The sequence below is a fragment of the Homo sapiens genome, chromosome 18 (genome assembly GCF_000001405.40).
Source record: "Homo sapiens chromosome 18, GRCh38.p14 Primary Assembly".
Classification (NCBI taxonomy): Eukaryota; Metazoa; Chordata; class Mammalia; order Primates; family Hominidae; genus Homo; species Homo sapiens.
The window spans coordinates 73,941,707-73,969,402 of record NC_000018.10 but is presented as its reverse complement, the minus strand read 5'-3'; the positions used below and the strand labels follow the sequence as shown (position 1 = coordinate 73,969,402).

The 27,696-nt window shown below is 44.4% G+C and overlaps 1 long non-coding RNA gene across 1 annotated transcript; it reads right to left on the bottom strand.

Moving 5' to 3' along the window:
- Positions 1-11,425: 11,425 nt before the first annotated feature.
- Positions 11,426-21,523, bottom strand: LOC124904358 (uncharacterized). The gene is made up of 2 exons (XR_007066470.1): positions 21,052-21,523; positions 11,426-11,847 (listed from the first exon to the last, which is right to left on the bottom strand). It is a non-coding gene; the product is annotated as an uncharacterized LOC124904358 (long non-coding RNA).
- Positions 21,524-27,696: the final 6,173 nt, after the last annotated feature.

The window sequence follows — 27,696 nt, the reverse complement described above, 5'->3', positions numbered from 1 at the left end:
TAGCCTGTTGGGCCAGTGAGGCAGGAACTGCCTTCTCTCTGCATGGTTAGTGCATGGCTGTGGTGTGGAAGGTTTGGACTCGAATGCTGAGCTCGTGGGCAGACGGACAGGCAGCTGGAAGTAAAGACGTGCCCTCCATTCTAGGCTGGGAGGAACTGATGAGAGCTGTGATTCTGCAGGCTGCCTCCCTCTGGAGATGGCACTGAGATCCCTCTCAGCCAGGGTCCCAGAGCCAGTTGATGTCTGTGTTGAGTCTACTTTAAAGACATAAAATGCCCCCTTTCTTTTTCTTTCTTTCTTCCTTTTTTTTTTTTTTTTTTTAAGACAGAGTCTCGCTCTGTTGCCCAGGCTAGAGTGCAGTGGTGTGATCTCGGGTCACTGTGAACTCCGCCTCCCGGGTTCACACCATTCTCCTCCCTCACACTCCAGAGTAGCTGGGACTACAGGTGCCCGCCACCGCGCCCGGCTAATTTTTTGTATTTTTTTAGTAGAGATGGGGTTTCACCGTGTTAGCCAGGATGGTCTCGATCTCCTGACCTCGTGATCCGCCCACCTCGGCCTCCCAAAGTGCTGGGATTACAGGCTTGAGCCACAGCACCCGGCCTTCTTTCAAAAAGAAAAAAGCAAAACATTTTTGGTCAAACATACACTGAAGAATCTGACCTCAGAGTTAGATAAAATAAGGGCTTTTATTTTCAGTGTGAAGAATTGTCCAGTACAGTCACCAAGAAAACAAGATCTTAGTAAATATAGGAAAAAATAATAACAAAAACACTTCTAGTGTCCTGCATTTTATGGGATGTTGAGTTTTACCAGATCATCATGTTAAGTAGGTAGCTAGTCAGGCATGAGCAGGGCAGGAGAGGGCTCCCCCTGCTCCATTGCCCCCCACCAACACCAGAAATGTTAGGCGACCATCAGGTGATGGTCAGGTGGTTGTTAAACTCTCTGTCTAAAATAATAATTGGTCACAGTCAGCGCTAGGGAAAGGCAGTCTCTCAATAGATAGAAACACCTGAAGCTGGTGATGAGCAGCTTCCTGATGAGGTCTCAGGAGCTGGGTGAGTGGGCTCAAACATGTGCACTAAGGGGCAAAATGGATGGAGTTTAACTGGTATATGACCTTCCTGCAGGAATGCTAGACTGGCGGGGGAGGAATGCCTCAAGTGAGCATGCGTACAACTCCAGTAATCACACTGCACACACTCCCCTCCTAAGTGCTAACTGACCACTGTGCATGCAGACAGTCCACCCCAAGGGAAGAATCAGGGGAGAAACAATGCAAGACCCTGGAAGCAAGACAGTGTATAAAACCCCAAGTCCAAAGACCAAACCACGCACCTGATCTCTCAAGTCTCCCACTCAGCCCTCTTCCAAGTGTACTTTACTTCCTTTCATTCCTGCTCTAAAGCTTTTTCATAAACTTTCCCTTCTGCTGGAAAACTTGCCTTGGTCTCTCCTTCTGCCTTATGCCCCTCGGCTAAATTCTTTCTTCTGAGGAGGCAAGAACTGAGGTTGCTGCAGGCCCATACAGATTCGCCATCCATGACAATCATGTGGGTAGATACAGATTTTTCTCTGACTCAGACCAGAGAAGGCACTTGGTTGGCAAATCTTTTTTCCTTAGAGTAATCAGTTAATTATCATGATAATAATGTTTATGTAAAGTCTGGATTTCCTTTGAAAAGCTGACTTTGCACTCATTCTATTAAAGAGTCTATGCTTATAATTTCTTTTTCTGAGGCTTTCAGCCTGGGGTTCCAAGTACACGTGTGTGTGTGTGTGTGTGTGTGTGTGTGTGCGCGCGTGTGTGTGTGTGTGTGTGTGCAGGCAATAAAAATTTCAGTTTTCTCTTACACAATTTTAAATAAATACTTTCTCCTGTTATCACAATGATTCCTTTTAGTGAGTCCAGGTATTTTTGTGATTTCAACAAGACATACCATCCCCCTTCACTGATGTGCCATGGCCACTGTAAACAGAAAGTACACACTCGGGGGGTGCCTTATGTTGTGCTTTTAGAACAGAGAAAGCTTGATTTCCTTAACTCACTCACAGGCTTTGCCAGTAAGAGCCAAGAAGGTGCATGCTTCATGGAGAGCTTTCCCCTGCATTTGCATGAAATGAATCTGGAAATTTTTCTATTCTGAAGTCTAGTTAGTTAGTCCTAAGAACTAACACAATTAATCTGCTGTGTTCCTTACTCCACATAAAGCCCTGTCCATTGGGGAAAATATGTCGTAATTGTGAAGCACACTGGAGTGTGAAATCTGCCTGGTGGACCCAATGGACATGGATTTCCTCTCTCTGTGAATTTCTCTATGGAAAGGCTAACACCCAAATGAGCCAACCAGGTCAGTCTCAGCCCCAGGCAGCCCTTTGCTGCGAGACATTTGTATTTAAAGCATGGAAGCAACTATGGAGAAATAGATTTTGAGCAGTGGAGCTATTTTTTTCTGACAAAATTCTGCATTTAAGATATTTTCCTCTGCCTTAACTAGCAGTGATCTTACAACTTAATTAGCAGCCCAGGCTCTTCTGGATGAGGCCTATATTAGTCCATTTTCACACTGCTATAAAGAACAACTGGAGACTGGGTAATTTATAAAGGAAAGAGGTTTAATTCACTCACAGTTCTGCATGGCTGGGGAGGTCTTAGGAAACTTAAAGTCATGGTGGAAGGTGAAGGGGAAGCAAAGTACGTCTTACAGTCTTACGTGGCAGCAGGAGAGACAGAAAGCTAAGGGGAAACGGCCAATTTCAAAATTTCCCCTGATTTTTAGAGAGCTAAAGAGAGACTGGCCCTTTTAAGATCACCATCAGATCTCATGAGAACTCACTATCATGAGAACAAGATGGGAAAAACTGCCTGCATGATCTAATTACCTTCTACCAGGTCTCTCCTTTGACACATGAGGATTACAATTCGAGATGAGATTTGGGTGGGGACACAGAGCCAAACCATATCAAGGCCCCAAACATATATGCCATAGGGGCCCCAGGAGGCTCATTCATTCATTCACTCAATATTTATGAAGCACCTAGCATAAGTCCAGGCACTGGGTGCAGGAATTCCCTTCCTTCCAGAGCCACCTGCATTGGTTTTCCATGACCTTAAGGCAGTAGTTCTCAACTGGGACAATTTTGCACCTCACCTTTCTAGTAAGAGAAAATACTGAAACAACAAACACCCACACACACACAAGAACCTGAGGAACTCTAGGTGAATAATTTTTGTTGGTTAATATAGGAGGCCTGTAATTAAAGTGATAAACTTTGAGCAATTCTAACAGTTTGCTACAGTGAATACATCAGTTGAAGCAACAAACTGGGATTAACTAGTGTGGAGCACCTGGGGAAACGGAGGGATAACTCCACTAGTGACAAAATTGCCATGATCTGGAGGACCCAGGATAAACATGGACCTAGTGTTTTTGGCTTGGAGCTTGGCCAACATTCCCTTGAGAGTTGGGATGGAGGCAAAGGCGCTGATGGTGCTCAATGCTGCAGTATCAGTAGGGTTGAACAGAAAAACAGAGTCATTCAATATAGGAGTTCCATTTACACAGAAGTGAGACGAGTCAGGGGAGTTCAGTAGTAGAGCTGTGACCAGAAGGTCACTGAAGATCTTAGCAAGAAGCATCAGGGCTGGTTCTCAAAAGCTCACGGGGAAGATTCTGAGAGAGTTGCCACAGACTGCATCCATCTGCAGCAGTGCTGTGGGTCTCGGGTCCCTGAGAAGCCTTCATGATATTGTTTAGATTTGTGTCCCCATCCAAATCTCATGTTGAATTGGATGAGGGGCCTGGTGGGAGGTGATTGGATCATGGGGGCAGTTTCCCCCATACTGTTCTCATGATAGTGAGTGAGTTCTCACAAGATCTGATGGTTTAAAAGTGTGTGGCACTTCCCCCTTCACTCTCTCTCTCTTTCCTGCTCTGCCATGTAAGACATATTGGCTTTCCTTTCACCTTCTGCATGATTGTAAGTTTCCTGAGGCCTCCCATCCATTTTCTGTTAAGCCTGTGGAACTGCGAATCAGTTAAACCTCTTTTCTTTATGAATTACCCAGTCTTAGGTACTTCTTTACAGCAATGTGAGAACAGAGTAATACAGAAAATTGGTTCCAGGAGTGGGGCACTGCTATAAAGGTACTTGAAAATATGGAAATGATTTTGGAACTGGGTAATGGGCAGAGGTTGGAACAGTTTGGAGGGTTCAGAAGAAGACAGGAAGATGTGGGAAAGTTCAGAACTTCCTAGAGACTTGTTGAGTGGTTTTGACCAAAATTCTGATAGTGATATGGACAATGAAGTCCAGGGTGAGTTGATCTCAGATGGAGATGAGGAACTTACAGGGGACTGAAGTAGTCACTCTTGCTATGCTTTAGCAAAGAGATTGGTGGCAATTTGCCCCTGCCCTAGAGATCTTTGGAACTTTGAACTTGAGAGAGATGATTTAGGGTACCTGGCAGAAGAAATTTCTAAGCAGTGAAGAGTTTAAGAGATGGCCTGGCTCCTCCTAACAGCATATAGTCATGTTCACAAAGAGATGGTCTGAAATTAGAACTTAAGTTTAAAAGGGAAGCAGCACATAAAAGTTTGGAAAATTTGTAGCCTGACCATGTGGTAGAAAAGAAAAACCAATTTTCTGGGGAGAAATTCAAGCCAGCTGCAGAAATTTGGATACGTAAAGAGAAGCTGAATGTTAATAGCCAAGACAATGGGAAAAATGTCTCCAGATCATGTCAGAGACCTTTGCAGCAGCCCCTCCCCTCACAGTCCCTGAGGCCTAGGAGGAAAAAATGGTTTTGTGTGCCAGGCCCAGGGCCCAGCTGTTCCATGTAGCCTCAGTACAAAGTGCCCTGCAACCCAGCTGCTCCAGTTTCAGCCATGGCTGAAAGGGGCCAAAGTACAGCTCAGGCCATTGCTTCAGAGGGTGCAAGCCCCAAGCATTGGTGGATTTCATGTGGTGTTGAGCCTGCAGGTTCACAGAAGACAAGAATTGAGGTTTGGGAACCTCTGCCTAGGTTTCAGAGGATGTATGGAGATACCTGAGTGTCCAGGCAGAAGTATGCTGCAGGGGCAGAGCCCTCAAGGAGAACCTCTGCTAGGGCAGTGTGGAAGGGAAGTGTGGGGTGGGAGCCCCCACACAGAGTCTTCATTGGGTCACTGCCTAGTGGAGCTGTGAGAGGAGGGCCACTGTCTTCCAGATCCCATAATGGTAGATCCCCTAACAGCTTGCACCATGCACCTGGAAAAGCCACAGGCAGTCAACACCAGCCAGTGAAGGCAGCTGTGGGGGCTGTACCCAGCAGAGCCACAGGCAGAGCTTCCCAAGGCCGTAGGAGCCCACCCCTTGCATCAGTGTGTCCTGGATGTGAGACATGGTGTCAAAGGAGATTATTTTGGAGTTTTAAGATTTAATGACTGCCTGGCTGGGCTTTGGAATTGCATGGTGCCTATAGCCCCTTTGTTTTGACCAATTTTTCCCATTTGGAATGAAAGCATATACCCAATGCCTGTACCCCCATTTTATCTTAGAGGTACCTAACTTGTTTTTGATTTTACAGGCTCATAGGTGGAAGGGACTTACTTTGTCTAAGATCAAACTTTGGACTGTGAACTTTTGAGTTAATGCTGGAATGAGTTAAGACTTCGGGGAACTGCTGGGAAGGCATGATTGGTTTTGAAATGTGAGAAGGACATGAGATTTGGGAGGGGCCAGGGGGAGAATAATATGGTTTGGATTTATGTTCCTGCACAAATCTCATGATGAATTGGAGGAGGGGCCTGGTGGGAGGTGATTGGATCATGAGGGTGAATTTCCCCCTTGCTGTTCTCATGATAGTGAGTGAATTCTCATGAGATCTGATGGCTTAAAAGTGTGTGGCACTTCCCCCTTTGCTCTCTCTCTGTTCTGCTCCGCCATGTAAGATGTGCCTGCTTCCCCTTCACCTTCCGCCATGATTGTAAGTTTCCTGAGGCCTCCCATCTTCCTGTTAAGCCTGTGGAACTGTGAGTCAATTAAACCTAATTTCTTTATAAATTATTCAGTCCCAGGTAGTTCTCTATAGCAGTTTGAGAACTGACTACTACATTCCATAAGCCTGGATCTGCCCCTGTGTGTGACCACCATCATCCCCCAGGACAATCGTGCTTCTCACCATAAGTACTATATGGCATGTTAATGCTAGAACTTAAAAATATAAATCTAGAATCATTAGAAACGTTGAAAAAAGAAAGAAGTGAGTTGACATTTTCTATTTTAGTAAGTTTTCACTCAGGTAAACATATTCTGATTGGAAGGTGAGTCTTGGAAGAACTCATGATTTGCTGGAATTTTCTACTCAGCCCATAGAAGTGAAAGAATACAAAAAGCCAGTTTTCTCTTTGGAGGGGCTGAATGGAGAGAAGAGTTTCAGCAAAAGCTAAGTGGAGGGAACATATTGCAACAGATCAAGTTATGGGTGGATAATAAAACACAAGCATGGCCAGAAATGCATCTGGAAAGGCTTTTCACATTGAAGTTAAGTATCTTTTTGAAGTGTTCAGGGCAAGATAATTCTTGAATTTTAAAGAGTTATCCCAGAGGATGACAAGGAAGTCAGCTGGAGTTAAGAAAAGAGAGATACTTGTTCCAAAGCACACGCATGTGTGTGTGCTCTCTCTCTTTCACACACACACACAGACACACATATGCACATGTATGCACACACACACACACACACACACACACAGTGTTGATGATGCCTCACGGAGCATTTCGTATGTTACCATACACTGAGCTAATTACATAAATAGCCCTGAAGGACTTGTCATTATCCTCAGTTATGGATGAAGTAATGGAATCCAAGCATCTTCCAAATTCACAGAGGTAGTACAGAGCTGGCCTTTGAACCTGGACCTTCCACACTGTGATGGGGCTGTGATGTGTCAGCTTGGCTAGGCTGAGCCATACTCCTGGGAATTTCCTCTCTAGTATGTTTCCAATTAGTGTGGGCTACGAAAGGGGAAGTGGTTATTGAGCAGCATACACCTTCTTCCAGTTATTCAGTCAAACCCTATCTTGGGTGCTGTTGTGAATGGATTTTGCAGATGTAGCTAAAGTTTTCTATCAGTTTAGTTTTGAATTAATCAAAAGAGAGATTATCCTGGGAGGGTCAGACCTCATCAGATGGAAGTCTTCTAAAGGTAGTCCTTCCTGAAGTCAGAGATTCCAAGCTTGTGCTTGTGGGGCTCCAGCCTGCCCTGGTATTCCTTCCTACCTGCTTGCCTGTGGCCAAGAAGCTTCAGAGCATGTTCATGAGGTCCTGTCTGTGTGTGATTTTGCTGGCTGCCTGTCCTGTGGACTTCAGGCTTCTTAGCCAGTTCCCATAATTAAGTCAATACTTTGTTATATGTAGATGTAACAAATACATACTAGCAGGATGCATATTTTTCCTACTGGTTTTTCTTCTCTGGTTGAATTCTGATTCATACACCCACTACTGCATTTCCATGATAGTATTCCTTTAGCTCTTGCCCCAAATGTTATTTTCATCTAACTCCCAACATTTCCAGAATGAAGCTCTTGACCTTTCCCACCAAAAGCTGCTTCCCCAGTGTGTTATCCTCACAGCTCTTCAGGCCCTAACTTCAGAAGGGCTGTTCTTCATATCTCTCTGTCTCTCATAGTCCATATCCAATCTCTTAGGAAATCCTGCTGACTTTACTTTCAAGATATATCCACAGTCAAATCACGTCTCATTTTCTCTATTGGCACCACCTTGGCTCAACCAGCCCTAATTTTCCATGGGTATTGCAAAAGCTTTCTTTTTACTCATGCCACCCTATAGTTCCTTCACATGTAGTAGCTGGAATGACCTGGAAACATTAGTCAGAAATGTCACCCCTTTGCTGACCCTTCAAGGGCTCTTCATTCCAGTTGGTGAAGAAGCCAGAGTTCTTCCAGTGGCTCACCCCTCACGAGGGCTGGTCCTTGTACACTCTGACCCCACTGCCTTCCCGAATGCCTCCTTGATGTTCCTAGAAGCCACCCACCCTTTTAGGGTCACCTCAGGGAACTGGCTGTCCCCTCTGCTGGGGTGCTTCCCTTGAGCAATGGCCTGGCTCTCTGCTTGATCTCCTTTAAGTTTGTGCTCAAAAGTCACCTCCAAGTTGGAAGGTCCGCCCTTCCCACACTATTTATAATCATTACTGACCCCACAGCAGCCAGTCTTTTTTTCCTGTTCCCTTGCCCCTGCAGTATTTATCAGGATCTACCATACTGTAGCATTTACCTAGTATATTTGCTTATTGCTACCCATGTCCCATGAGAATGTGAGTTCTAGCTTTGTCTTTTTGTGCCCTGAGATGCTGAGAACATTGTAGGCTCTCAATAATGTCTGTTGAATTAATGATAATTTTCCTCTCATAGGTATGAGATAGAGGCACTTCCTCCAACCTCACACCCACATTTTGGGCAGGAAAATAAGAAAATAAAGATGAATGCAGAGACAAAAATGAACAGGAGTAGGAGGAAAGGAAAAAAGGAGTAGAATGGGGAAAAAGAGGAGGAGGAAAAAGAAAGAAGCAGTGTCCATTTCATGAAAAAAATTCTGAAATACTTAGCAAAACTTCGCATCTGCCTCACTGGCTAGTACTGAGTCAGTGAGGGTGAGTATTGTGAGTATTTTGTCAAGTTAAACAAAACTAGAATTTTTGCTAATAAGATAATCTATGTTGAGTAGCTAACTAGTAGCATCTTCAAAAATGTTAGTATCTATGTAGTCTTGAAAATCACCCATTACATAGGCATTATTATTTCCTTTTTATAGATATAGAAGCCAACATTGAAAAGGGAGAAGTTGCCGAAGGTCAAACCACTGGTAAGGTGCCAAGCTAAGACTGAGGAGTCTCTCTAGCTCCATCCTGTTATTATCATATACTATTGCTGATGGCCCCCCATTCCTTTTAATTAGTTCAATCAACTAAGTACTTTTTAAACATTACCCTTGGTAAAATATTATGCTAGATACAATGGATAGAAACTTTTGCCATTAAGAATTTTATGCTCCAGTGGTCACGGTAGGATAAAATTACATGAAAGGATGGCGAGTAAATTAATTACACAAGGAGTCTATGCTATTAGAGTTCAGAAAACAAGAGCATCTGGGCTGGTCTGAGAAGGCATTAGAGAAGAGACGGGATTTTATGTGGACCTTGGGAATGGATCCACATAGAAGAATAGGGAGGGATGTATAGGTAGCAAGAAATTGGCTGTGTCTTGGCAGAAATGATGATGTGTCCTTTCTTAGGATAGTATCTGAGAAATAATACTTTGGAGATTAATTATCATCTTAATGTATCTTGACAGTAATAGAGACAGATTATTTCAATAAGCATGCTGTTGGTAGATTTACCAGTTAGTAAGGTGCATGACTGTGAATTTATAGCCATCTCATCTCATTAGTAAATAGAAAATTGTTCAGTTGGTAAAATCACAGGTGCAGAACTCCCTGAGGGCAGGCAACATGCTGTCTGTATGGTGGTTAATCTTCCAAGGTTCATAACACCCTGGATTAGGTGTACCTAATGCACTTCCAGATCCTCAGTTTGCTGGGTGGATCAAGGTTGAACACATCAAGTTTCAGAAGCTATCACATACAAAATGACTTTTTAATAGTTATTGATTGCTTAAAGATATTTTGTGCTATTTTTGCAACTGTTGGTTTGTGATATGGGCAAACCCAGCTGTTACTGTGGCCATAGTTGATTGGCTCAGGGTGGCTGCACGAGCCAGAAGATACCATCCATGGGTGGGTATCACAGTGTCCCAGCCACGCTGCTGTGGTTTCTCAAGTCCTGCCCTGGAGTGTTCTAATCCAGCAGGCACCCAGCCAACTCAATGCAATGCAGACAGCTGCCCTCGATTTTCTGCTGCTCATGTTAGAAGCAAGAGTTCTATATGGCTGATAGGGAAATCCTTGTTTTACCACACACCTGAGTAGGTAAAGGACTTCCAGCTTTTGATACAGTTAGGTGGTACCACGTGGTGTGTTCGCTGGGAAATTCTCTCCCACTACTTTGTGCTACTTCCCAGTGAACTGGAGGCTGTCCTGAGAAGCTTCTAGTTATCCTCTGACCAGATCCTCCTGAGGCAGGAGGTGCAGGAGAACAGAAGTGTGCCCTGTGCTCTTCTGAGCAGAGAAGCACCATGAGCTGGGGCAGGCAAACCCCACTGGGGCTGGCATGGCTCGCTGGGGCTGGCACGTGGAGGGAAGTGCTGCCTCCCCAGGCCTCTGCTTTAATGATCAGCTTAGTCACTGGTGTGACTGTGCCCTGGGCTATTGCCTGAGGTGAAACCTTTACCTGCTCCCTGGTCTATCTTGGTAGAATTGATCTATTTCAAAGGTATACAGCTAAGCAGATTCTTATTTCTGAGAATACCACCTGTGTGGCACCTCCTTTCCAGCTCCTCAGGGAATGTGAGACATGTGAGGAGCTGCCACACTCCTTGCCAGTAGTCACAGGAAAGGGTGGTTAACAAGTTAAAGTAACCAAGAGGAATATGTGTGTTGAGTCAGCTGATGGCGTTTGCAGGTGGAATGTCCTTCTTACCACTGATGCCCAGAGTGATGGAGGAAGTGGGGCATCTTCCTATCCTGGCTTTTCGCCCCTCCCCTCCCTTGTGTCCTTTGACACTATCCACTGACCCCTACCTTGCCCTGCAGCTTTCCAGGTCCATGTACAGCCCTTCTGATGCCCAAAGCACCTGATTGTCTCTCTGTGTTGTCAGCTTGGGGCTGGGCTTCTTGGCTTACTCTGACAGCCACAGTGGATACACACACACACACACACACACACAATCTCCAACCCATACATTGGAGAAAAGTTAGGATTGCCTCCTGTTGGGGCCACCCGCATTTTTCCTCTTTACTAGGAAATGGCAGTTTCCTCTTTACTAGGAAATGCCATCTGCCTCTTTACTAGGCAGATGGCAGTGCTCCCCGAAACCTTGCTTGCCTTCAGCATTCTGCACGGAGAAGACTCCACTTCCCAGGCTTCTTACTGTTAGGCAGGGCCGTGTGACTAGTCCCAGGCAATGAGACACAAGGCAAAGTGATGTGGGGACTTCTAGTCTGAGGCACTCGAGAGCTTCAGTGAGCTGTCCACGTTCCTTTATTCTCCCTGCTGGAGCAGCCCAGGTGACTACATGTAGAGATAAACGCAACCTGGATCATGAGTAGCTGCAGAGAAAGATGCCTTGGTGCTCCTCCATGCTGTGTGAGTGGAAAATCCACTGCCATTAAATCACTGAGATTTGGGGGTTATTACTGATGCAGAGTCTAGCCTCTTCAGGCTCATTTAGGAGCCATTCACAAAGTTTTTCTCAAGTGATATGCCCAATGAATCCTACTATGTTTCTCTAGGGACACAGTCCGTAATGTTGAAATGAAATTTATTTCTTAGTAACATACTATTGGAAGATGCTAGAAAGTTATTCGAGAAAAGAGAGATAGTCCAGAAATAGAATAATTTGTAATGAAAGGAAGAATAGACTTGAAGAAATAAGAAAGGATTACCCAGAAGTTCTGTCTGGAAAAGTTCCCATAGGAGAAAAGGAAAAGAATTCAAACTTGCAGATTCACAGATCAATAACTCAGGTGGGAAGAGGAAGATGAATAAATTCACACAGGTTTATGAGTACAGGGGCTCATACATGAAGGAAGGAATGGGGAAAGAGAAGGCTAAATGTAAAAATATACAGCAAATTCAGCAAAATCTAAATGGCTCTGTTTATCTGGGGATGTTTTGGAGTCCTTGATTCTTCTTAGATCTTCTTTAGATGCTCAGTAAACTGGACCTTGGCATGGAGGAAAGAGAGGAGAAAGGCAGAGTGAGAGAGTGCAACCAACACACCCCCAGCATTCAGTCCCAGTCTCCAGGACCATGATCCACTTTGTAAAGAACCAAGACTCAATCAACAGCCTCTCAGTAACCTATTTAGAATAATAGCATCCAGAGACAGCTGGCGAGGCCCCTCAGTTTTTTGCCTAATTCTATTTTGCATATGAAGAGACTTGAGCCAAGTTTTTTGTCACCGTTAGAAGGTGAAATATACTGGATAGCATGTCTCCCGCCAGGTTGGGGCACTTTTCCAGTCTAGGCTTCTCTGGTTTCTGAGCCTGGCATCTCCACTTTTGCAAACTGGCGTCTTTGTGGCTTAGGGAATGTGACTGGCATAGCACAGGTTCTGATGGACTAAGGAAAAGAGATAGCATTTCCAGTTCAGTAGAGACTTCCACTTTACCTAAAATCATCTGGTCATTTTCCCCCTCATGCTGATTTCAGAATTTCCTTCAAAATTTAGACTAATTTATGCTTTGTTAAAGCTCCACACAAACTTTTGTGGTTAAATAATGACATTTTATTCTTGGTACTTCACTTGTTGTTTGTGAAATATGAGACAGCAGGGGCTGTCCTGATTGTAAAAGTTAAATGTTGTACAAAATCGCTACTCCAGTACTTAACCGCAGGGCCACAAAATGGGTTGATGGTAGTTACTTTGGCTCATCCTGTAGAACTTGAATGATTTACTAAAAACTCTGCAATAACATAATATCTACAAGATGACAATTAAAGTAACAAGACAACCTCAAGGAGTAAATATTTTATGTAATGAATTAACCATGCAAGGTTCATTCATTCATGAATGTTAATTAGAATCCTGAGGTTAAATTGCTGTGTGGTATAAAGTCAGTTTATGCTAAGTAATCAAGTAGATAAAGAGTAATGATGCAGGGTTTGTATTTTAATTTACTATTCTTTCTTCCTACCAAAAATGAGAGATCACTCATAACAGTCAAACGAGCAGCTCTGCTCTCCCTTCCCTTCCTAAGAGAAAACACACGACCTGGTCTCCTTTAAGCAGAGCTGCACAAAGGTCTGAGCTTCTTCTGGTGGTGTCAGGTTAAAGAGACAATGGCAGGACAATATCAGCCTGAAACATCGGGTAGCAGATTCCCCATTTACATAAAGTTCCAGGACACAGAGTGGGATGGGCAGAATAATATCCCCTCAAGGATAGCCTTGTCCTAATCCTGGAATCTGTGAGTAGATTTCCTTTATGTAGCAAAAAGGATTTCACATGTGAGATTAGGTTAAGGACCTTGAAGTGCAAAGACTATTTTGGATTATCTGAGTGGAGCCAATGTACTCACGAGGGCTCTTAAAGAGGGAAAGGAAGGTAAAAGAGGAAATCAGAATGATGCACTGTGAGGACTCGACCCATTGTGGCTGGCATTGAAGATGGGGGAAGGGGCCATAAGCCGAGGAATATAGGCCACTTCTAGAAGCTGGAAAAGGTGAGGACTGGATTCTCTCCTAGAGCCTCTAGAAAGGTCTGCAGACTTGCTGAGACTTTGAAAGTCACCCTCTGAGACTTGTGTTGAACTTCTAGCCTCCAGGACTGTAAGACAATACATTTGTGTTATTTAAGCCACTAAGTTTTTGGGAGTTTGTTACAGCAGCAATGGGAGACTAATACACCAGGGACTAAGTTGCCCACTTAGTCCCTGATTTGCCTAAAAATCACATGAGTATTTGTGGAATGAATGAAGGAATGAATGACCGGAACTGTTAGTGGTGGAAGAGATCCGAGTTACCCCAAGTTACCGGTGGCATAGTCATGTGGGTCTGCAGCATCTTCAGCCCTTGCCTCCTCAGAAGAAAGAATTTGACTGAGCGGCATAAAGCAGAGAAAGATACTGAGGCTAGTTTCAGAGCAGGAGTGAAAGTTTATTTGAAAAGGCTTTAGAACAGGAAAAAAAGGAAAATTTGCTTGGAAGAGACCAAGTGGGCACCTGTAGGTCAAAGAGAGAGAGAGAAAAAAGGGGGCCTTTACCTTGATCCTGGGACTTTATAGGATGGCCCCTTTCCCGTGATGCTCCCCTTAGGGTGGGCTGCCCACAGGCACAGTGCCCTCCTTACCCTTGGGAATTGAGCACACACGGTGCGTTTAGGGAGTTGCTTGCCCTTCAGAGGCTTTCTTCCCTTTTCTGGTGGAGTGTCCCCAGAAGGTCACACTTATCATTATTGTTTTTTAATGTGCATGCCCAGGAAGTTGCTTCTCCCTGGAGTCTGCTTTAATTAACACTTTAGTGTTAACAGGTGTGGACCATCAGGAACTGGCCTCTCCCTGGCGCCCCAATTTATCACTTTTAGAGAGGCAATGCATTAATTGCCTAACCATCACCGGACACTTCTTGTGGGTGGCGGGGGGAGCTCTCTCATGCCTCGCTCATGCCTGTCTACCTGTAACGGAACTACTTGTTATGCAGATATACCTCAGCTAGAATCTGATTGACATACACCTCTGCACACCTGTTGTCTAACGGTAACTGAGGTTCAAAATACTAACCCTCTAATACTGCAAAATCCAGAAACACCTATTTAAGGAATCTTACCCATATTTACTGTTGGTTTAGAGGAAGAGAAGGCACTTCAGTGTATCCAGTGTCTATACTGGATCAGATGCTTCATCCTTCCAAAATGTTAGCCCTCATTTCCATTGCTCTCCATCCCTGTTTTATTTCCTTATGGGAGCTATCACCCTCTAAGACATCCATGTTCACCATATTTCTTTGCATGTTAATTTCTCCTTCATCCTTCTGAAATGTGAGCCCTATAAGAGCAGATACCTTTGCTTAGATTGGGTTTTTGAAAGTAGTAATTGATCACACTTCTCCCAAACAGAAGGATTAAAATATCAGCATTTAACAGATCCAGTGCAATTAGGAATGTGGTCTTACCTAGGGCTCCACCAGGGCTCTGATGATGTCCCCTCCCATTTCATTGAACCCCATCTGCCGGTTTGCTCCTCACAGCAGGAGCAGAATCGGCCCCAAGAACTCACAGAGAGAAAGCACCACACCCAGGGGCAGCTGCTTCCTCTGAGTTCACACATCAAATAATCTGCTAGTCCCTCTTGGGGGGAAGTGAGGCCGGTAGGGAGGCAGGCCCTGTGTCACCTCTTTCAGAAGAAGACCTGAACATGGAGATGGGGTCCCGGGGGCAGAAGCTTCAAATTAACTCTGCTCTTGATCCCTGCTGCATCTCCAGTGTCTAAAACAGCTCCTATCACTTGGGAGACATTCAATAAATATGGGTCAATGAATAATGAATAAATATATTATCTCATTTCATCTTCGGAACAACTCTAGAGAGCTGATTTTATGTCTATTCTGCTGGGGAAGTTTGGATAAACTTAGTGAGGTTGGATAATCACTGAGCAGCAGAGCTGGGATTCAAATCTGGTTCAGCCTTGCTCTAAGGCAAATCCTGCTGTCTCCCATGTGCACTTGACGTGGTTCTACTTTGGAAAGAGGCCACTGTCTGATGCATTTTTTGCATTTTTGCTCAAAAGTCTCCTACGTTCAGAAGTCAACTTCAAGGTCGCGCATGCTGGGCAGCCCTGAGTGCGGGGTTTCCAATAAGTAGGCAGGTTCACCTTCTCAGCTGTAAAACAAACCCCAGTGCCCACTCAGGGCCAGACACTTCACTGGTGCACAAGCATGAAACACGGGCTCTCAGATTGCCCCGCTGCTGCCCAGGCCATTTACAGTGCTGAAACCATCATGTAAGCTGCTTGTATTTTCTCCTTGTCTATATAAAAGTCCTCTGAGGAACTCAACGCCTTTATAGCTATTGTTACAATAATAGTCCCCTGGATTGGGGGGGAAAAGGTTTTAAAAAGCATTGACTATGCACTTAGCAACTTTCTCGGCAATTCAAGGACTGAGGCTAAGCACCGCTCTGAGTTTGTGGAGAGCATATTTTAGTTTCTTATTTCCTAGGAGTAATTTTCACCTTAATTGCAGAAAATGCATTTGAGAACACTCTTGTGTCTGCAACCAACAGGAGCATGGCAGCATTGTATTCTGAGAAATTTGGGCTGGGTGCGGTGGCTCACGCCTGTAATCCCAGCACTTTGGGAGGCCGAGGTTGGTGGATCACCTGAGGTCAGGAGTTCGAGACTAGCCTGTGCAACACAGTGAAACCCCGTCACTACTAAAAATACAAAAATTAGCCAGGTGTGGTAGCGGGCACCTGTAATTCCAGCTACTCGGGAGGCTGAGACAGGAGAATCACTTGAACCTGAGAGGCAGAGCTTGCAGTGGGCTGAGATTGCACTATTGCACTCCAGCCTGGGTCACAAGAGTGAAATTCTGTCTCAAAAAAAAAAAAAAAAATTACTAGCTGGGAGGAATTACCAATTCAATGAAAATTATAGCAGAAGTTTGTTTTTTGAGACACTTTTTGAACACAACCTCTCTCCCGTGTCAACACATGCATCTGTAGTATGCCCTCAACAGGTGCTTGATAACAAAGTTAGTGGATTTTCCAACTTAAAATTTATCTGGATCAGTTGCTGTAAGACATATGGTTCCTCATTACACCATGTGATGCTCTGATAATGACTCGTTTCTTTCTATTCCAACTTGGAAAGAAGCTTTTGCCACCCTCCCACCTGTGTCTTGATCTCAGCCAGTGAGCATAGGTGCCTCCTTCATAGTCCCTTGTTATCAGCTCCATCTCTTTCCAGCTTCCTTTTCTGCTCTCACCATGAAGTTTAATAGTCTCAATACACTTTTATCTTTGCCTTTTATGTGGTTGCTACTAAATGTCTTATGCTGTCATTTTAATGACTCACTTTTATCCCTTTTCCAATTGCTCTCAGCACTGCCGCGTGGGGACTCAGCACCTGGATCTTTTCTGAAAGGTGACGATTCTATATCCTGTTACATCCCACTGGGATGTCAGATTAGAGAAACAGTCTCAGGGCTAAATCCACAGAGTCCTTCCTGTCACCGTTCCTTGCAGTTCCCATTCTCCAGGGGTTTGAAGGCATGAGGACCCCTGTTGTTTTGTAAACACGTTCCACCTTACGATGACATCTACCTCTCTGAACTGGAGCTCTTGTTGGTGCTATCTGCTGGGCTCTTGGCTGTCTTCTTCCTGTTCATGTGTTCTGGCATTGTCACATCAGTGTGCTTTGTATCCCTGCTAGGACTTTCTACTCCTCTGTTGCAGGGTCTGCAGCTTCCACAGAAACCACTTCTAGCACCCAACACAGTGATGGATGAGAGGGAGTCAACTGATAGGCGTTAACCGAGTTTCAACGTGCACTGCATTTTGTTGCACACTGTGGTCCCCTCAGCCTTTCTTGTGTGATTGAAAGGAGGCAGCGTGACCACCAGGTAGAGTCCTCCTTGGCTCTGTGTTCTGGAAAGGGGCAGGTAACCTCCTTCATCTACTGTGATTGCCAATTACTTTACTAGTTATTCTACCCTAGAACTAGTTAGATCTACTCTAGTATCTGAATCCTTTATACAAACCAATCAAGTGTTTGTCAATAAGTATGAATCTGTACTTTGAGTATAGCATTCACGAACAGTACACTTGGGAATAGAGCTGATGCTGGTGATTTCCAAAGGCGGTTAATGTGAATGTGGTTCTGGGGTTAAAGTCACGTCTTTTCATGTTAAGTTGCTTATGAAATACACAGCCAGAGCTGTGTTAGGCAGTTCCTATTTTCTGATATGCACTTTTGCTCATTTTCCCTGATGACTCTGTGTGGCCTGTAGTGGCCTGCAGCAATTTATAGGGCAGTGACTTCCTTATCTCAGAGTTTATATTAAAATTCTGTATTTCACAAAGGGCATTATTGATAGAAGTCATATGACAAAAATTCTCCATGGTCAAATAGGTTTGTAAGATGCCTGGTTAAGTATATTTCTTGACGACAAGATTTCTTGGACCCTCTAATGCACTTACGTGCATTGCCAGGGGCCTAGCTGAGCTGCCAGGTGTGGGAGTAGTTGATGAAGTCAATAAGCTAAAAGGAAAGTCACCGTGCAGCCTTTAATCCCTTCCTGCAACGATGGCACAATCAAGGGGCTGAACCTGAGGAAGCACCAACTACCCCCTGCCCCATTTTCCCCCATGGAATGGCACAAGGTTGAAGGTCAGGTGAATCAGCACAGACCTGGAGGGTGGCGGGTATCTCATTGCGGAGGGAGCCCTGAACGGAAAAGGCTCTGGCAGTTTTATGCACTGGGAGCCAGGGTGTGGGAGGATTGGAAAAGTGCTAGAACTGGAGAAGTATCAAGTACTGAGTCAATGTGGAGAAATAGTTTCAAGATTCCCGCTCCTCTCTCTCCACAGGGAGGTCACCTAGAGGGGCCTGAGGAAGCCTCTGGGTAGGACCCCGGCAAAGAGGGCTTGGAATGCAGGTGTCAGGGCTAGGTACAGATATGTGTAAGCACATGACTGGCGTGGCCTGCAGCTCCCCCAAGAGAAGGTAAGACGCCGCGTGCACCAGGTCCCTGTTGGGAGGGTGGCTTCCCTCATGGGGTCTTCCAGGTACATCTTTGTAATTGTCTACAGTTATGCCTGAAAAAATCACACACAGGAATTTGGACAGGAGCTGATCTCCTCATGCATGATGGCCTTCCAAGAAAATAATGTATACAGTAGGTCATTTCTCAAACATATTTGACTATGGAGTTTGTGATTGCATGTTTCTTGTGACTGGTATTCTAATTACAGAAGTACTAGTCTTTCTATCTGAAACTGTTCAAAGTTCAGTGTTTAAACGATGGAAAAGCTTTCCCCCTAAGTACACATATTTCATTAGTAGCGTTTCTTTTGATGTAGGTGAAAATTTGGATAACTGTGCCTTTCCTTCAGTATGCATGGGTTTTTCCAATGTCACCTGCAAAATGCTCTATTTTTTCAGCTGCCTGTGAGTTTTGTCTAAAGGTTATCTGGGTCAACTCAGGTCAGAGGGATTTTTGTAGAACATCCTGAATTTAGCAGTGAGGAACTCTCAGCCCAGCATGATTCATGGATGTCTCACAACCTCATGTTTTCTGACATCCACCATCAAGGCAAAGATCCTAGAGCACTTGTGTCTTATGGTGTGATTGTGTGTGTGACTGTGCGTGTGATCCTTTACCATCCATGATTTCAGAGGGAATCAGTGGAAGTGCAAAATAATGAAAAAGGGTATTTTTCATTTGTCCTGTAATGTCCTAGTTTTGTTGATTCAGCAGATTTAATAATTACATTTTACTTCACTCACTTGCACATTAAAATGCCTTTGCACTCTCTATAGGGAATTGGTAGGAGAGAGGGGCTCCCCAAACCACCAGGTCAGTTCACACGACTGCCCTATCTTTGGGTCATCATTCAAACTACAGCAGTGTTCTGTATTGGGGTGCCAGATTCACCAAGTGGAAATGATTTTTTTCTGTTCAAAGAAGTTGAAGCTTGTGCAAAACAAAACCATAACTTGTAGTTTATTGAATGTATCTTTACTTATAAGGTTTTGTTGTTTGTATACATCAAAACTAGATAAAAAAATGTGGCTGTGCAGAACCAAGAAGGTTTCATCCAGGCAGGATTCTGTGGACTTAGCTTAGGAGAGTGGTTTTTATAGTAATTTTTGTGTATGAAATGCTTTCTTCCAGGGAAATCTTATGAAGAATGCCAATATTAAAAATCAGAGTGGGTCACGGTTGAAAGTAGGTGGGAATACATTTAGCCCTCTTCTTTTTTATAGTGTCCCTGAGGGGCTATGTGTCTATCTGCTGGAGGAGAATGGTGATCTGACACACTGTTTGGGTCCAACCCCTTTAAGACAACTTTCCTTAACAACACTTATAGATTTCCCAATTCAGGATTTTAGTAACAACAGCAGCAGCTGCAACGTTTATTATGCACACTCAACAGGTGGCAGGCAGTGCATTTGGCACTTTACATGGGTTGTCTCTTAAGCCTCACAACAAATGAATGAGGTAGTGTCAAGTCAGGGAACAGTCCCTAAGACCACTCTCACTTCTGACACCAATTGCAGATTTGGGGGTCCTCGAGACAATCCTCAGTTTTGATATTTTGCTAGAAGGGCTCACAAACTCACTGAAAGTTATTATACTCATGGTTACAGTTTATTACAACAAAAGGATTAAAATCAGCCAGGAGAAGACGCACACAGGGCAGATCTAGGAAGGTTCAAAACATGGAACTTCCAGTTGCTCCTCCCAGTAGAGTCACAGTACTAACTTCTCCCATCAGTGATGTGTGACAAACCACACAGAATGTTGCCAGCCAGGGAAGCTACGCAACCCTTGGTGTCCAGCGTTTTTGTTGGGGATTGGTCATGTAGACATGCCTGACCTCAGCTTCTAGATCCTTCGAAGTTGAACTGATGATACATGTGACCAGAAACCCTCTTCCTAAATCATATTGTTAGACTGGGGTGGCCCAACACACCCAGGTAAACTAAGACACGTTTATCAGGACACTAAGATGCTAAGGCTTTCCAAATGCTTAGAGAGCACCTCCCATGAACCAAAAGAAAAGACCAGATTTCTCTTTGGGCCATGTTGAATTCTTTATTTCATAGATAGCTACTAGAATTCTTTTCCATCTCATAGATGAGGAAACTGAAGCTTAATGAGTCTAAGTAACACTTTGTAGTTGGTGAAGCTGGGTCTTGAAGCAGGGCAGACGATTCCGGAAGCTAAACTTTTAACTTTAATTTCTTATGAAGGTATTTGACAGTCCAAGCTGCACCATTTTGTAAACCCCTGCCATTTTGCAAACCCTGGTCAGAATGGAAAATTCCACTAGGGCTCAGGCCACATAAGAAACATCCTGGGACTTTCCAGACAAGTCCCAGGCCTAACTGCCTGACCCCAGGAAATTCCTCCCTTATCATCAGCTAACCACACTGCCCACCCCATTTCCCAACAAGCCCAGACCTCTCCCTCCTGGAACTATAATTACCCCAGCCTGTAAGGGGGTGTGGGCTCTGGTGCTAGCTGATGTCCCCCTCCGCAAATCTTTGTTCAATAAACCTTTGTTGCCCTAGAGCTGCCTCTGTTCGTTCCTTCTCCCTTTCCTGCTCTAACAGTATTAAAAAGAATTATTGGTACTTGACCCAATGGTTAATTTAGACATAAATACACATGCTAGCAAAGAAATTATAGTCAGGTAAACTCACAGCAGAATCCTGATATTAACAGGCAGTCCTGTCATCTCCAGTGTAGCTAGGAAAAAGCCCATTCTTGTCCATTTGTCCCAGGTCACTCCCGACCATGTGAATAGATCATCAGAATTGCCAGTCTGAGTGCTGCACCCCCCCAAGTCACTCCACGCTGCCTGTCGTCTGCCACTGTCAGTGTTCAGCCTTTAAAGTCTTCATTAACTTCATTTACAATGGTCTAGCTATTTCTGTTCTTTAATTGCTAATTCCACAATGCCAGGGTGAGCTTTCCTCCAATGCAAATGTTTTTGAAAATGCTGGCTGCAAAACATTTTTGCTGCAACATGCCTCTGATTGCTTCAAATTGTTTCTTTTCTGCACCACTACCTTTGAAAAGTTTAAAAAAGGTACTGTTTGCTCTTCCATATCCTGTGATAATTATAAGAGACTCTATCCTTGCATCCTGGAGCTGCTTCCTGTGCCTTCTCTCTCAAAAACCCCTGCTGCAGCGACTGTAGTTACACGCGTCACCAGCTACATCCCTTGGGTTTTGCAGTAACTGTTTATGTTAGCTATAGTGGCCATATTTTCTCAGACAAAATTTGGGACACATGGCCCAGCAAGGATGACTGTGCATATGGGTACACAGGACATAATATTTCTTTCCCAGAAAACTTGAGACATATGGTCTCCATATGTATAGAATATATGGCCTCTTGAATGTCTCTTTATTGATGCATTTCTAGTCACATGAATATGTAACAATAGTAATGTGATTTTTATAGCCTCTCTGTCAGGAGTTTTTCATTTGAAAAACATATTCATCATTTCTGTTTGTGGTAAAATTACTGCTCAATTTAGTGGCCAGCTTTACATGGTACGTGATGTATCTTGGTTTTGATGTTCTTTAGTGAATATATTTTCTTACTTCTATTTAGGGATCTGTGGTCTGTCTAGGCCAAAAAAGCAAACAACAAAAAAAAAGGCTGTGTGTATTCATTTGTTCTGAAAATGTCTGTGGAGGAGGTGGCTTGGTGGCGAATGATTTCACGGTAGGCATGTGGGAGGAAGCTTCAGAAAATAGATGAAAGTTTATGAAGTTATTTAGCTGTTGGGGTCAGTGAACATGGGTATTTTGAAAGGCAGAATAAGTGATGAATGAAGGGGGAATAAGAAAATGGCAGAAAAATGGAAAATATAATGGTGTAGAAGGCATTTTTTTCTTCTAGTTGCCTACTCTTTAGCCTGCTCTCAGGTGGCTAATGGAGGAAATAAATAAATAGGTGGCTTTAATCCTCAGTAGAGCAAACAACAGTGACAGCAAGCAGAGCAAGCTTCCTGTGAACACAAATTAAATGTGTTTGAGTAAGAAATATGAACTGTAGTGAGCATTTATTAATAAAAATTCTGTGAGCAGTAATGAATGACATTCTAGTAGACAGAGATAACCTCCAAAGTAAGCAAGAGATGATATATTTGATTGGAATAACTAAAACAAGAAGCTTCCAAAAGAAAAATGATCCCCTACCAGCAGTTAAACTAAATTGGACAGCAGTGCAGCTCATCACAGGTGACGAGGGGCCTCCAGTACCTCGTAGGCTGGAGGTCACATTGACCTTCAGAGAGTACATGGAATCCAAGCTCAAAGTACCAAAGAGGGTGATGAATGTGACAGGCAGCTCTGTCAGAGTTTTCTCTTTCATTAGGTTGTTTTACACTCAATGTAAGCTCCATCCAGAATTCTTTGTTTTTGCGTAACATCACTTATCCAGTACCTCCAATGTAGTCTTGATTTTCCTATGGGGCCACAAAGGTGATTTTCTCCACCATTTCTTCCATTCTGTGAAGGAAAGCAGTCACAACTTTGCTTAAAACTTTCAGTCATTTCCCATTATTCTTAGGAGAAGGAAAAAAATCTTCTACATGGCCTGCATTCCCTTGGCCTTCTTCCTCCATTGTAAACAAATGTCCCGGAAGCGTCTGTGCAAGCTCCCTGGCTTCTAGCACCTGTGCTAATTCTGACTCCCCTGGAGAGTGCACCTTCCCTTCTTATCCTAGTTAACTCCTTCCCAGCTGTCAGGTTTCTGCTCACGTGTCACCTGCAGAAAAGCTTCTCTAACTCTTAATCCTAGGGAAGGTCACTCTGCTCTAGATCCTCATTGTGCATGGAGTACTTTCCTTATGGTATTTAATACAAACATGAATATTCTTCTCCTTTGCTAGACTAAGCTCTACAAGGTCAGGGGTGCCATTTTGTTCACCTGTGCATCTCAAAATGTAGCACATTGTTGGGTATGCAGCATGGTGTAGATTATGTGTTCATCATATGATATGAAGCATGGTGTAGACTATGGGCTCATGGCCTGGTGTGGAGTATCGCCCTGATTATGTACTCATGGCTTGGTATGGAGCATGGTGTAGACTATGTGATTATCATCTAGTTTGAAGCGTGGTGTAGGCTGTGCACTCATGGCCTGGTATGGAGCATGGCCTAGACTATGTGCTTATGGTCTGGTATGGAGCATGGTGTTGGACTATGCACTCATCATCTGATTTGAAGCATGGTGTAGACTATGTGCTTATGGCCTGGTGTGAAGCATGGCCTAGATTATGTACTCATGGCCTGGTATGGAGCATTGTGTAGACTATGTGCTTATCATCTAGTTTGAAGCATGGCGTAGGCTGTGCACTCATGACCTGGTATGGGGTAGGCTGTATACTCTGTGCTCATCACTTGATATGAAGCATGGTGTAGGCTGTGCACTCATGGCCTGGTATGGAGCATGGCCTAGGCTATGTGCTTATGGCCTGGCATGGAGCATGGTGTAGACTATGTGCTCATCATCTGATTTGAAGCACGGTGTACACTATGCACTCATGGCCTGATGTGAAGCATGGCCAAGACTGTACACTCATGGCCTGGTGGTGTGGAGCAGGGAGTAGTGTATAAAACCATGGCATGGTCTGGAGTATGTACTCAATCCATTTTCTGGAACGAGTGAACATTCTTGTTCTCAGATTGACTACTTTCATGGGAAAACTCCAGTTACTGAGGCCAAATGGGTCTGAGCTGTCCCAAACTCTGCAGTGCCATGTCTTAAAATGGCTTTGCTTCCTATTTGTCATCCTCTCAGGGCAATGACTCAGGAAGAAAAATAAATCCAGGACCTATACTCATTTAAATAAACTCTGGCATTCATCTTGTTTCCTTTTGAAGATTTGAGTCACCTTGATGTCCACAAGCTCCCACTGTGAATTATTATGAACCTTGGGGAGAGGAGAATTCCTGGAACATCAAGGCAGGGGAGAGGCAGTAAGGTAATAATAACAGGGGCATGCATGGAGTACACACTGCTCTAGATTTGAGGGCCTAGGTGTGGGGGCCTAAGTTCCCCACGGGCATCAGCTCATTTAATCCTCCCAGTAACCCTAGGAGGCAGGTGCTATTATCAGTCACCCACATGGTTCAGATGAGGACAGTGAGGTGTGGAGGAAATAGCTAGTCAATGTGAAAGAAGGATTTAAACCCAGTCATTCAATCTTCATAACCTGTATTCTTAGTCATGGTGCTAAACTGTCCTTCAAGACAAGAAAGCTTCTCCCAGACTTTCTTCCTTGATTTGTATGCCTTCTTTTCACAGGAGGGTAACTGTGTTTAGTTGTGTTCATAAACCTGAATGGCATCCTTCCATATATCAATTCGTTCTTTCACAAAGCATTTCCAAATACTTAGCACATACTGGGTGTCGCAGTTAGCACTGAGGATACAGAGTTAAGCATACTTCATTCTTGTCTAGAGGTAGAAATATATATATATATATATATATATATATATATATATATAAAATCTCTCTCTATATATTTATCAATATACATATGCTAATCAATATGTATATATGTAAATCCCTGTCTCTCTCTACCTATCTATACATGTATCCAGACTCTAGAGGTTGAAAGTATAATATAATATAAGTTTTAACAAATTATTATGGCCATCTAGCAGACGGGGTTAGTAAATGAGTATCTTTGAAAGAGTGTAGGAGAAGAAATCCTCATGGAGGAGTTAACATCTGGATCTGGAATGATAAAAATGAATTTGACAGGCAAATAAGTAGAGAAGAACATTAAAGGAAGAAGGAACAGCATGACAACGGTGGGGAGGGGGCCTTGGCTGTGGAGAGGGCTTAGTGGAGGGACTTTGTGGTGTGGGTGGAGCCGTGGGGAAGGAGGTGGGAGGATGGACTGAGGCCAGATGGTGCAGGTTTGTAAATGTGATTGTTCATTCGAAGTGAGAGATCCACCGGGTTTGTTGGCAAAACTGGCATTATTATTTTAGCAAGACAGCCAGGGCCCCTCTGGGGATGATGGACTGGAAGTTGGCGGCGGTGCTACTGAAGAGAGGGAGGGGGTCAGCCCATGGAGCCGGCTGGTTTCCAGGTTGGAGAGGTGACAACGCTTCCCACCCCTGGTGTGTTCTGCGTCCAAATGGTTCCACCACTCTCCGTGGGCTGCACAGCCCTCCAAAGGATGCTGTGTCTGTGGATGGGCCCTCTGGGAGGTTTGAAATGTCTGGCAGGCAAGTCCTTTAGTGCAGTAAAGAGGTATTTAAAACAAGCACCTGTTACACGCTTCATGGGGGCTTGATGAGGAGGAAGAGTAACTGGAGCCTGTGGGCCCCGTGAATTGGTAGAAAGGGCACAGTCTGGTGGCCGTGCCTTTCCTTCTCCGGAGGCATGAGCAGGGTGAAGGCTTTTCATGGGAGAAACTTGCTGTCTTCACCTGAGCCCCTATGTTCTTTCATTTTTTAATACTCAAAGTCCCTGAGCCCCATGTGAGCCCTTTCTGTGGAACTGCAACTGAGAGGCCAGGCCACAGGCCCCTGCCTTCCCCTCTGGCTCCGGGCAACACTGGCTGGAACACTCACTAATTCCGTGGCATGTTACAGGTCTCAGGTTCCCCCCAGGACACCCATGAGGGTCCAGGAAGCTCAACTTGCCTCCTTGGCTTCGTGATGCTCAAGGACTGCTTCTTAACCATACTACTTTGAAATAGATCCCAGTCCCTTCCTATAGCCCCCACTCCCCCAAAAGACAGCACACCCAGAAGCATCCAAATATATAATGGGCCTGCCTTCGGATCTGGAGGCCCTTGGGAGAGGTAATGTTGCATACCTGTGGCCTCTGTCATCTTCCCAGCCTCTCGCTTCCTTGGTCTTCTCATGAATTCCAACCTTTATCCTTATGTGAAAAAAATCAGCTGCTTCTAGCTTCCGTTCCCAAACCCAAATAACAAACACAGAAGGGTGCTAGGCAGCAGAACAGGCATTTCTTCCTGGGGAAATCCATCCTAATTAGGAGGCAGTCATGATCATAGTGACCCTAACGTGGGCAAATGGCTAGGCTTTGTGTGCTCTGCGTGTGTGTGCGCCTTTGTGTGTGGGTCCATGTGTGTACATATGCATGTACGTATGTTTCTACATGTGTGCGTATACAGTTGATATCCTGAGAAAGTGTCAATAGGCCACATTTTGATGTGGAAGTAAATTTTCAGACTTCTCAGAAGGGTTTCAGAGCAGCGATAATGCGTATTAGGGAAATGACTGCCAGGCCAAGGACTGGAGGAAGCTTCTAACGGTTCATGTGTGGCAGAAGTAGTCATCTCTGGTGCACATGCTGAGGTGTGCGAACCCCTAAAAGTGACTTGTGCAGCAGGTGGTTCACCGGGGTGCCCTGCCCCCTGCCCCCCTAGTAGTTGAAGGCCCAGACCTTGGAGTCAGTCTTATCCTAACTCTATGAACTGCATTTTCCTCACCTGTACGTTGAGGGGATGAGTATCCATCTTAGAAGGTTGCAGGAAGTGCAGACCAAATGTAGCCATGTCTGTAAATTGCTTAGTGCAGTTGCTGCCTTTAGGCAATTCTGATGGTGTTGACATAGTGCATGGTGTTGACATAGTGCATAGTGTGGCAGGTGCCTACCTGTGCCCTGGCCTGGGATTGCCTGGCTTCCTCTCCCAGTTGTGATATTTACTGGCTGTGTGATCTTGACTAAAATAGCTATGCCTCGGCTACTTACTACAAAGCAAAGCTACCAACACTTCCTCCCCCACCGTGGGATGTGACCTGTGTAAAGCGCTTAAAGCGATGCTGCCATGGAGGAAGCATCGGGGATTATTATGATGAAGATGCTAACCCTGGGAGCAGAATCTCACTTCCTAGAAAACTGCCATGAGGACGAGCGTTCAGGTCTAGAACCTTTATTCCATGATTTTCTAATTTTTAATTTGATAAGCTTTGAATTTTTTTCTGGTTGCAAATAATTCCTTTGTATTTTATTTACATAGCACCTGTCAGTTTATTATGGGGGCACAGAGACAAGTGAGCTATTTTAGTTGGAAAACAATATTTTTGTTCTAAAGCAGTAAAAGAGGGGAGGAGAGACCTACTCTGAAAGCCAGTTAAACTGTGTGGGGTCATGCCAGTCTTCCTGACCTCATCAGCATGGCCTGGTACATGGACCTGTGCCCCCCACTTTTCCAGCACAGGGTCCATTTCAAGTACAAACCCACCTCCCCACTCCTTAATCTTACAAGTGGTTCTTGGGTGTCTTCCAGCACAGGGGTCAGACCCAAATGTACTCTGTTCCCTGGGGTTGTGCCATTTAC